The sequence below is a fragment of the Homo sapiens genome, chromosome 5 (genome assembly GCF_000001405.40).
Source record: "Homo sapiens chromosome 5, GRCh38.p14 Primary Assembly".
Taxonomy (NCBI): domain Eukaryota; kingdom Metazoa; phylum Chordata; class Mammalia; order Primates; family Hominidae; genus Homo; species Homo sapiens.
The window spans coordinates 176686569-176698339 of NC_000005.10; the positions used below are offsets into that span (position 1 = coordinate 176686569).

The 11771-nt window shown below is 53.0% G+C and overlaps 2 annotated features.

Moving 5' to 3' along the window:
* Positions 6172–6716: an enhancer, noted in NCBI's record as "H3K4me1 hESC enhancer chr5:176119741-176120285 (GRCh37/hg19 assembly coordinates)". NCBI's record gives its function as "activates a minimal SCP1, AML or CMV promoter by ChIP-STARR-seq in naive H9 embryonic stem cells {active_cell/tissue: H9 hESC(naive)}" and the evidence as "EXISTENCE:reporter gene assay evidence [ECO:0000049][PMID:30033119]".
* Positions 10740–11563: an enhancer, noted in NCBI's record as "H3K27ac-H3K4me1 hESC enhancer chr5:176124309-176125132 (GRCh37/hg19 assembly coordinates)". NCBI's record gives its function as "activates a minimal SCP1, AML or CMV promoter by ChIP-STARR-seq in naive H9 embryonic stem cells {active_cell/tissue: H9 hESC(naive)}" and the evidence as "EXISTENCE:reporter gene assay evidence [ECO:0000049][PMID:30033119]".

The following is an 11771-nucleotide window of genomic DNA, read 5'->3' on the forward strand; positions in this document are numbered from 1 at the left end:
GGAGTTTTGCTCTGTCACCCAGGTTGGAGTGCAGTGGCGCGATCTCGGCTCATTGCAAGTTCCACCTCCCGGGTTCACGCCATTCTCCTGCCTCAGCCTCCTGAGTAGCTGGGACTACAGGCGCCTGCCACCATGCCCAGCAAATTTTTTTTGTGTGTTTTTAGTAGAGACAGGGTTTCACTGTGTTAGCCAGGATGATCTCGATCTCTTGACCTCATGATCCACCCGCCTCGGCCTCCCAAAGTGCTGAGATTACAGGTGTGAGCCACCACGCCCAGCCATGCCTGGCTAATTTTTTATTTGTAGAGAAGGGGTCTCACCATGTTGCCCATGCTGGTTGGTCTCAGACTCCCTGGCTTAAGTGATCCTCCTGCCTTGGCCTCCCAAAGTGCTAGGATTACAGGTGTGAGCCACCATGCCAGACCTCAAAAATGGACTCTAAATAGATTATAGATAAAACTTTTGAATGGAAACATAGAAGGTCATCTTTATGACCTGTGATTAGACAAAGAGTTTGTAGGCATGCTATTAAAAACAGTCTATAAAAGGATAAATCGAGTTTCATCAAAATTAAAACTTTTGCTTTGAGAAAGAGACTGTTAAGAGAATAAAAAGACAAGCTATGGACTTGGAGAAAATATTTACAAACCACATATCCAACAAGAGATTTGTATTCAGAGCATATAAAGAACTGTCAAAACTTAACAGCAATGTCACGGAATCTTTGGGGTGTCACTTTCTGGCCTGAAACCTCTGGCGGTGGTGCCTTTGCCCAAGTTTTGCTCAGGCCCACTGGCTTGTTCCACCCACTCGGCCTGGCAGGCTGCACTCGGCTCACACTACCAGCCTGGATCCCACATCTGCCAAGGACGAGTCAGGCGTGGAGCGGTGAGGGGTGTGTGAGCAAGTGTGGGGTCCCGCCTCTGTGCAGTCAGACACACCTGCAGTGGGGAGGGCAGCACAGGTGCCGGCTCTCTGTGAGGCTGTGGCTGGACCAGGTGCATTGCAGGTAGCTTCCCCGGCTGGCACTGGGAAATGCAGTGGCACCCAGAAGCTTGGAGATTCCAGGCACTGCAGGACCCCAAAGAGGGAGTCACAGCCCTAGCTCAGAGAGGCCTCCCAGGTCTGGGCTCCCTAAAGGGCTGCAGGTCTTCTCTCCTCTTCGCCTGCAATGTGGTGAGCAAGGGCCGTGTTTCAGCCCTGTTCATGTTATAGCTCTTTTAGCTCCACCATTTGGCGGTCCCGAGTTCTTCTCCTGCAGCCAGAAAGAATGAGGTATGCAAACAAGTGCAGGGTGAGCAAGATGAAGAAGAGCTTACTGAGCAACAGAACAACTCACAGGAGACCTACAGGGGGTAGCTCCTTTCTGCAGCCAGGGTGTCCCAATGAGTGTTCAGCTCCTAGCAGAGAGGAGACCCTGGAGTGTGAAGCTCCTCTCTGCTGCTAGTCATCCCACTGTCTGCTCAGCTCTGGCTGAGCCCAGGGCTTTTATGGGCCTCAGAGGCGGGGACGTGCATGCTGATTGGTCCACGGGCGGCCATGGGCAGACCCAGAAAAGACACTTGGGTCAGTGGGACTGGAAGCCTGGCCCCCAGCTTTCAGGCTCTCCCTGGCCTGAAGATGGAGCCTCACTGGGGACTGCCGCCTTCTGCCCAGGAATTTGTCTGCCTCCTGCTGCAGTTCATGGCACTGGGCTCAGCCCTGATAGCAAGGAGAAGCCAGGCAAGGGGAGCAGGCACTTCCAAGCCTGCAAGGGCAGGGGGACTTCCCAAGCCTCCAAGAGTGCAGGGATGCCTGAGCCTGCAGCAGCAGTTTGGGGGTGGGGGGTGGGGGCAGGGCTCCTGTCTGCTCCTGGAGTGGGAAGCCCAGGTCTGCAGCCTTGGTTTGGGCGGTTGCAGCTGCACCCAGGAGGGCAGGGTTCCTGTCTGTTCCTGGCCCCACAAGAGCACAGGGAGACTCGGATCCGCAGCCAGGACTTGGGTGGCTGCAATGTCACCTGGGGAGCTCCTACCCCAGCTTGGAAAGGGTGGGACTCCTGTCTGTCCCCACCTGTGCAGCCCTGGCTGTGACTCCCTGCTGCAGCCGGCATGATGGAGCCACTGCTGCCATCAGTAAGAAAACAAAAAACCCATTTAAAAACTGGACAAAAGATCTGAACAGATACTTTACAAAAGAGGATATAAAGATGTCCAATAAGCATATGAAAAGATGTTCAACATCATTATCCATTAGGGCAATAGGTACAACTACACATCCACTAGAATGAATAAAATAAAAGTTCTGACAATACCAAGTGGAATGCTCACACATTGCTGATGAGAACTCAAAATGGCACCACCCGTCTGGAAATTGATTTATCAATTGTTTATAAAGTTAAATATATGCTTACCATGTGACCCAGCAATTCCACTCCTGGGGATTTACTCTACAGAAATGAAAACTTATGTTCCCATGAAAACTGACCCATGGCTGGACATGGGAGCTCACGCCTGTAATCCCAGCACTTTGGGAGGATGAGGCAGGAGGATCACTTGAGTCCAGGAGTTCGAGACCAGCCTGGGCAACATAAGGAGACCCTGTCTCAACAACAACAACAACAAAAATAGCAGGGCATGGTGGTGCACGCCTGTAGTCCCAGTTACTTGGGAGGCCAAAGCAGGAGGATTGCTGCAGCCCAGGAGTTCAAGGCTGCAGTGGGCTATGATTACATCACTGCACTCCCGCCTGGGCGACTAAGTGGGATTCAGTCTCAAGAAATTAAATAAATAAACAAATAAATAAATTACTGTGAGGAAAAACATTATTGAAAACTTAGTCCCTGTTGGTCTCCAGTAAGTTGTGGGTGTACAAAGCGGAATCCGGTAAGGTCCACATTTGTGGGCATCTTCCAAACAAAGCCAGCAACAGCGTGACATAAGGGGGTAGGAGGAGGGTCAAGTTTCACCCTAATTGCCACCTTCTCAGAGAGGCCTTCCCTGACCCTCCCCACACAAAGTAGCATCCTTGTATGAGTTTCCTGTTGCTGCTGTAATAAACCACCCCAAGATTAGATGTTTAAAACAATGCACACTTATATCTTACGGTCCTGGGGGACACAAGTCCAACCTGGGTCCCATTGGACTAACATCAAGGTGTGGGCAGGGCTGTGTTCTTCCTGGAGGCTCGTAGGGGGAGTCTGTTTCCTTGCTTCTTCCAGCTGCCCGAGGTCACCTGTCCTCCCCCATCCTCATGGCCCCCTTTTCCCCCTTCAAGTTGGGCTGAGTCCCTCCTGCACTCTCACTCTCTGGTTCTCTTCCCTCTGTCTCCCTCTTCCATCTCTAAGGACTCTTGTGATTCTACTGGGCCTATCAGATAATTCAGGACAACGTCCCCAACTCAAGGTCAGCTCATGAGCCACCTGCAATGGCTTCTGACACTAACTGCCTGGAATTAGGCCAGACTCCACAGGCTAAGGGTACATTCCTCCGCAAGACTGCCCTCACTTCAGACACCAGCCACAGGAGCAAGGGGCCCCAGGCCACCCCCACTTCTCACCAGCTGCCTACACATTCAGGGGCTCTCACTGCACCCTCAGGTTTGATAATTTGTTAGAATGACTCAGAACTCAGGAAAGGGCTATACTTACGATGATAAACGGATACAATCAGAACCAACCCAAGAGACAGACCCACAGGGTGAGGTCTGGGAGAGTCCCAAACATGAAGTGTCCATCATGATCTCCCTGTGGAGTCAGGACGCATCCCCCTCTGAGACATCAACGTGTGACAAAACAGAGTATTGTCAGTCAGGGATGCACACCTGAGCTTTGGTGTTGAGTTTTTATTGGGGTTTCATTACATGGACACAATTGCTTGAATGGGCTGCATCATTGGCCGTGAAGCTGAACCCCATCTCCATCCCCCTCTCCTCCATGGAGGTCGGGCTGATATCATGTGTGGCTCACAGCCCCACCCTCTCATCACAGGGCTGGTCTTTCTGGCATGTCCAGCCCTGATCCTGAGCCACCTCCTTGGCATAAAGTAACAGCTATTGTCTGAGTGACTGCAAGTAACAAGACACCCATCACTCAGGAAATTCTAAGGATTTAGAGGCTACCTCCCAGGAACTGGGTACAAAGGCCAGCCAGATTCTTTATGATTCACAACCTTAAGTCCATCTTCACCTTTAACTCTCCTTGGAGTGTGACCTGACATAGTCACAGGTTCCAGGGATTAGACTGAGGACATCTTTGGGGGGCTATTATTCTGCCTGGCACAACCTCCCAGTGTCTAACACATCACCCTGCTTTGTTTTTATTACAATACTGGTGCCTTTGTAAAATGGTCTTATTTTGTTGTTTATTTGCTTATGGCCTGTCTCTTCCTCTGGAGTGTCAGCTATATAAGGGTACCTTGGAGCACCCTGAGCTGACCTAGGCACGTCATGTGTGCCAAATGACAGAGGGAGAAGAGAAAGAGTTGGAGGAGGCAACATTTGAGCTGGTCCTGGAAGGATGAGCGGAGTGCTGCAGGGTGAGCAGGGACTCTGGCCAGGAGCAACAGGTGAATAGAGCCAGAGGAGGGCTTAGGGACTGGGTGGGTCAGGGAGCACTGGGTGGATTGTTGTGGCCGGAGCACTGGGGTGTGTCGTGGGAAGGAGGCAGATGTTGGGAGCTGATCAAGACAGGCAGCTTAGACACAACTGCACGTGGCCAGGCGACAGACCTGAGGGCACCTGCGCTATCTGCTCTAGTGCCTTCTCTCTCTGACACAGGTGCCAGGAGGGAAGCACCAGGGTATGACAAATAGGGATGGACCCTGGAGTCAGCCAGCAGTTGTGTAGTTGTGACCATGGGCAAGTCACCTCACCCCCCCATGGCTGTCACTGAGGCTGGCCCACTTTCCTGTCCAACCCTCTTCTCTTTGCTTTCCTCTAAGGCGGAGCCTGGAGAGCTCAGTTTCCCAATCTCTCTTGCGGCAAGTGCCACCAATCTGGCCAATGAGCTGGAGAAAGAATCTTTGAGGGTGTTCTGGGAGTGGAAAGGGCCCAGTAAAAAGAGGGATAGACTCAGCTGGATCAGAATTTGGCCTTCTCCTCTGCTTCCGGCTTAGAAGGCCACATGATGTCAGGAGCAGCAGCAGCCACCTTGTGACCATGAGGGGCAAGCTAAGAGTAATGTCCTAAGGCTGGCAGGAAGATGGGAAGTTCCCTGGCCTGGAAGGATATCACTGAGCAACTGGGCCAGTGCCAGCAATCACCCACCTCTGGGTATTAGTTGGGCATTCTGTTACTCACAAACACAGCCCTGATTAATACACTCTCTAGGCCTCAGTTTCCTTTACTGTTCACTGGAGCTAATTATATTTATCAATATTCATTCCACTCATGTTGTGTACCAGGAAGTCCTCTAGGTGCTGGTGGCAGAGCAGTGAACAAGAGATAAGGTTCCCATTCCTTATCTATTTATTTATTTTTGAGACAGAGTCTCACTCTGTCACCCAGGCTGGAGTGCAGTGCTGCAATCTCGGCTCACTGCAATCTCTGCCTCCTGGGTTCAAGCAATCCTCCCACCTCAGCCTCCCAAGTAGGTGGGACTACAGGCATGCACCACCATGCCTGGCTAAAGTTGTTGTTTTGTTTTGTTTTGTTTTGGTAGTGACAGGGTTTCACCATGTTGGCTAGGCTGGTCTCGAACTCCTGAGCTCAAGTGATCTGCCTGCCTCAGCCTCGCAAAGTGGGGGGATTACAGGCGGTGAGCCACCGCGCCTGGCCCTCATTCTGTTTGCATTTACATCTCATTGCGTGAGAGAGACAATGAGCCCACAAACAGGAAGCCATCTGAGAGTGGACAAGGCTTCCTAAAAGTCTTAGGAAGAAAAAAAGGGAGGTGATGTGATAGAGACTGGTGTGCACATGGCACGGAGTCTCTGTGACTGGGCTGTGAGGAGGTGGCGCTGGAGCTGAGACCTGAGTGTGAAGAGGACAGGGATTGTGGGGAGGAAGGCCAGGGGGCCGGAGGGCAATGAGTGAGGGTGGAGGTGAGACCAGCAAGTTGGGCAGGGCCAGGTGACATGTCTTGGTAAGCACAGTGACATGTTTTGCATTATTCTAAATGCAAAAGGGAAGCCACTGGGGGCTTTCAGAAGGATATGGGACAAAGATTTGAGTATTAGGCACGCCCCAGGTGCTTAATAAATGTCTGCAGCCTGGGGTAGGGCGTATCCAGCCGGCCCTTCTCAGGCTCAGCTAGTCCCTCTCTTGTCCTGCCTACCTCACACCCCCAGCTCCTGAGCAGGGGACCCCTCGGGCTGCCTTTTCCATCTTCTTGGCCCTGCCTCATCCTCCCCTAGGGCTGTTTGCTCCCTCCAGAGCAGGCGACCATAATTGCTGCTTTCCACAATGACATAAAAATCTAAGAGGCACAATCAATACAGCGCACACACATCATCGTCTTTCATTGCAAACGATAAAAGTGTAAACAGCAGGGGTGGCGGCAGCTCTGGAGGCTGCAGTGGGGGCAGGGCGGGCTGCCACCACTTCCCTGACTGTCACCCTTCTTCTGGGACACAGGGCTCTTCCAGGTGCGAGCGGGAGTGCCTTCCCCACTCTGGGGAGTGGCACCCCTCATTAAAGCCCATTCAGGGAAGTGGTTTTTCCTGTTTTTGCTTCCAGATGCAGCAACCCCAGTTTCTTTAACCCGACTTCAGAAATCCAATTTGTCCTCTGTACTTTAAAAGCTTTTCCCTTGCTTCCCCTGCATCCAAAATACAGAGCTAGGGGTGGCTTCTGGTGGCAGAAGAACTTGTTGGGGTTTTGCCTGTCACAAGCCCATGAACTGACCTCGACCCCATTTTAACCCCAGCTCTTGACAGCCAACTTCTTTCGCCACCTGTCCAGCCTGCCACCCACAGCTTTTCTTGGAACGTGCACAGAAACCATTATATCCCCAGCTCCCACACACTCCCGGCGACGACTTCCTCAAACTAGTTACTTAATGAACGTCATCCAATTCCGATTCCGTCTTGCTGTAGTCTCATTTGCGAAAGCCAATCTGCTTTATGATTCTAACCTCTGGCTAGCAACTGCTCCCAATTTCATGTCATCCATAAACTTGATGAACGATTAGCTTGCTTCTCTGCAGTCATTCATTTATTTATTCAACCGGTATTTAGTGAGCGCCTACTGGATGCTGGGTGCTGGATACAGAGTTACAGGAGACGCAGGTCCTGGGCTGAAGAGACTCCTGTGGGGAGGCGGAGCCCACGTGAAAATGGTTCCCATTTATGTGATCTGTGCTCAACTGGGGCAGGGGAGAGAGCCAGCTCCTTCTTGGTGCGGGGGGCGGGGGGCAGTTTACATTTGCCTGAAGATGCTGGAGGGGATTTTGGCAGCTGGAGAAGGAATGACGTTCCAGTCAGAGAGACTAGAATGTACGTAGGCAAATTGCTCTGGGTGATGATGGGGAAGAAATCTGCTGGTATATACATGTCCAGGGCTGATGAGAGCTTCAGCTTGGAGCCGTCTAGAACCAGGAGGGCTCCTGTCTGTCTCTTGGCTCTGCTCGTTTCCACATTAGCTTCGTCCTGAGGCTCCATGTGGTAGTAAAAGGGTTATACCTTCCCAGGGTCAAATCCAGGAACAAAGAACGTCCCCTCCAGTCTCACTGGGTCTTACTGGGTCACATGTCCATCCCTGGTCGATCATGGTAGTTGGAGAAATTTAAGTTCTCTGGCCTGGCCTGAGCCACATGGCAGCCTTGGACCCTGGGGCGAGGTCTGCTACATCTGAAGCTCATGGATTGAAAGCGGGGACGGTGGGGACTCCCAGAGAGAAACTGGGTGCTGTTAGCACCGAGAAGGACGAACGGATGTGGGGCTGGAGAGACACAGATGATATCCACTCTGTGGTCACCAGCTGGCTCGTGCTCCCAGGTGGTGGAAGGGGAGCCATTGGTTCCTTTCTGTGCAATGGGTACAAGGACCGAGTCAGAGGATGAGGATGGGACATCTGAGACCGCCTCATCACCACGTTCTTCTAACTGTGTGAGGACCAGTTGAGAATTTCCTTTCTGCTTTGCCAGAGGCTGGATTGAAGCCAGCCAGCAAGTAATTTCCAGTCACTGTCCTTGTCCTCAGCCTTCCCATTCTTCAAGCTCTTTTCCTGTCCTTCTCAAAGCCAAAGCTCCAGCCTGTTCCAGAAACCCCGTGGGGGTCACCCCCAGCACCTTCTAGTTGAGCTGCGTCGGGGGCTCAGCCGAGCCAGGGCCGCCTGCCTTATTGGGCAGCTTGTTGACGAATCTGGAGCGGTAGCCACCCCTCCAACCACTATGGCCTTTCACGAGGACCCACAGAGCAGTGGGCTGGTGGGTGGGCCTGGGCCCTGGGGACAGACAGATCTAGGTTCTGGTCTACAGCGAACAGGATTAGGTTCAGCTAGGAGTGATAGAAGCCACTAGAAAGAAAAGAGCAGCACTGTAAACAAGATAGAAGTTATTTCTCTCTCAAACAATCAAGAGCCTGCAGGCAGGAGTTGGGACTAGAAGAGCCTTCTCCGGTCAGTCGAGGGCGACCTCCTTTGCAGGAGACCTCCTCCACTTTACCAGCCACGGTGGTTGCTTAGTTCCAGCTGCCAAGAGGAGAAAGGGACTGAGAAGGACATGTTCTCCCTTTGAGGACACTTCCCAGAACTGCACGCTACACTCATGCTTACAGCGTTATGGTCTGAATTTAGTCATGTGGCAGGGAGGCTGGAGAGAGTGCCGATTCTGGCAGCCATGAGCCAGAAGGGAGGGGAGGGCAGAGGGAGGGGAAAATAGACACTGGCAGTGAGGAATAACTGGCAGTCTATGCCCCAGACCCCTAAGTGTGCTCACAGCCATGATCACACCTGCTGCCCTGGGAGAAGGGAATTATATTCCCCCGTTTTACGGATGAGGAGGCTGAGGCAGACAGAGACAGAAAGCTTAGTCTCGCATGCTCTCTGTTCCCGTTCTTGCCTTCCTCTGCTAGCCCTCTTCTTGCTCCTGCCCTGGACCCAGAACATAGTTCTCAGTGGCCCTTGAGTTATCCTTTTGTTTTTTGAGACAAGGTCTTGCTGCGTTGCCCAGGCTAGAGTGCAGTGGCACGATCTTGGTTCACTGCAGCCTCAACCCCCTGGGCTCAAGCAATCCTCCTGACTTAGCCTCCCAAGTAGGTGGGACCACAGGTGTATGTCATCATGCCTGACTAATTTTCATATGTTTTGTAGAGATAGGGACTCCCTATCTCTACAAAAGAGAGATTGCCGGCTGGTCTTGAACTCCTGGGCTCAAGCAATCCTCCCACCTTGGCCTCCCTAAATGCTGGGATTACAGGCGTGTGCCACCATGCCCTGAGCATTAGAGTTATACAGTAAAGCTCAGTACTGAAGCAGGATGGGGCCAGCCCGGCAGGTAACCCGGGGCCCTCCTGAGAGAGCAAGAGCAAGCTCTCCCCTAGTCCCCCAGCAGGGGTCTGCGGGGTCTCTGGGTCTGTGGTGTCTGTTCCCCAGCAGAGGCAGGCAGCAAGGCCCCAAACCTGGTTTCCATACAAGGCTTACAACTCTTCCCCTAACTGTGCCCATTTGTGATTGATGCCAGTTTAGGATTCACCAAGGCTCTGTTCCTCGGTGCTCCTGAAAAATGTGGAAACCTTTCTATTTGTACAACCCATCTGTAAACTAGGGCTAAGCCACGTCCTTCAGCTCTCTCAAGGGTTTCTTGATGGATATTGAGTGAAAAATAATGTAGTTAATGTGTTCTGAGGAACTCAGGGAAAGCTGCTGCGAGCCCATGGTGCCACTAAATGATCATTGCCCTGGGCCCTGGGAGGGGCCATTCTGGGGGCTGGACTGGGGAAGGCAGGGTCGGGGTGGCAGTGGTGCTTCGATCTGGAATGACACTTGCTCACTTGTGGAGCAGGCAAAAGCTGGGAGGCCCCTAGTGATGCCCAGTCATGGGGAGCAAGGATGTTCCCTGGGCAGGTGGTGGGCGGGGACATGTGGCATTGTGGGGGACTCCAGAGGGAACAAGGAAGCAGGCATTAGCCTGAGGTTTGGAGGTCACCCCCAACCTGGAGGGGCCTGGGGAATGGCACTCACAGGCCAGGGACTGGTCCTCAGCAGAGAAAGGGCAGGTTTTCAAATGGAAGGTTCACCTGCAGAGAACACGGAGTTGCTCCAAGCACCAACGTCTCCCATTTAGATGACGGGGGGGAGCCCCAGGTGCCTCTGTAATCCACTCCTGCCCCTGCTCCACCCAGTCTCCACGCAGCAGGCTGAGCGATGCTCTGTGGTGCTGAGCAAACCTCCTCCTCCCCTCTCAACCCTGCCCAAGATTTCCCGTGCTCCTGAACCCACAGACTCTTTTTCATGCTCTGCAGGGGCCCACCAGGTCCAGCCTCAGCGTTTCTTTCTACCTCACTTCTTCCACCTTCTCCTGGCACACCTCCTTCCTACCACAATGCCTTCTATGTGTTCCTAAACCGACCATGCTCACTCCCACCACACAGCCTTTGCATTTGCCGTTCTCTCTGCCTGGAATCTTCTTCCCGCAGCTCTCTGCATGGCTGACCCTCCCTTGGAGAGATCCGCTCTTCCCTATCTGCCCTCTCTTCCTCTAAAACAAACTCTTCCCCATCACTGCCATCATCCGGTTGCATTTTCATCATTGTGTTTAAGACCATGTAAGAGGATATGATTTGATTCCTTGTCCATTGCCTATCCTCCCACATGGGCCCAGCCCAGGGCACAGCCTGCACACCTGTGTCCTTTTCTCGCTGCAGCACCTGGAACACAGCAGGTGCTCAGTCATGCATTGGAAGGAGGCAGCCTTAGTTTGCATCCCCCTGGAAGCGAACCCTGAGACAAGGTTTCCCATACAAGTAGTTAATTTGGGAGGTGGTAGGGGAATGGGAAAGGGAAAGGAGCAGCCAGGAGAGGGAGCGCTCTCAGTGAGTTCCAACTGTGGGCAACCACAGCTCCATCCTGCAGGGCTGGGCTCAGTGTGGACAGCGTGCCTGAGAGTACCCCACACAAGGGGAGGGTTATGGGCACCTAGACACCAGCTCCTATCAGTTACTGGCTGATGGCCTCTCTCGGGGGGCCCTATTTTCCAGCACTCTGGCCCGTGGCAACATGGGCAGAGTGGCATCCAGATGGCAGAGAAAGGTCTCGGGCAAAGAAATGTGGTCGCAGGCGCTGGTGGCTGGAGGTTGGGCTGGCATACACTGCAGTGGGCACCTACATTGCCTGCTATGGGGGAAGGCACCAAAATGGGCAGAAGATGGGGCCTGGGCATCAGGCACAACCCAAACACAGTTACCCACACTTGGGTCCAAGATCAGGGCCTGACTCAGTGGGTGATGATGCGCAGCCTTTGCTTGCCCTGGGCTGAGATGCCTTAGGCGCAGGTAACCAATACAACTCAACCAATACAGCTCAGGAGAGGATGAGAGAGGCCCAGCACAGCAGCCTTGGGAGGGAAGCTGTGGGTTGGACAAGGCAGGGCCTGACAGAGGCAGTCTTGAAAGGAGTGGCTTAGCTTTTGATCTGCAAAGAGACCTGAGCCCTGGCAGATGGTTTTCTGGCCTCCTCAGGTTTCCAGCTCTCCCAGCTGCCTCCGGAGGCAAGTCTGGGGCAGGAGGAGTTTGGAGAAGCTGGCTGGGGGGAGACCTCTGCTCCTCGGCTGCAGGTTTGCATTCTCTTTGGCAGCTAATTACTTAGGATGAATGATTCTGACTCAGATGGAAGCCCCCTCCTCCAGCACCCCTCCCTCC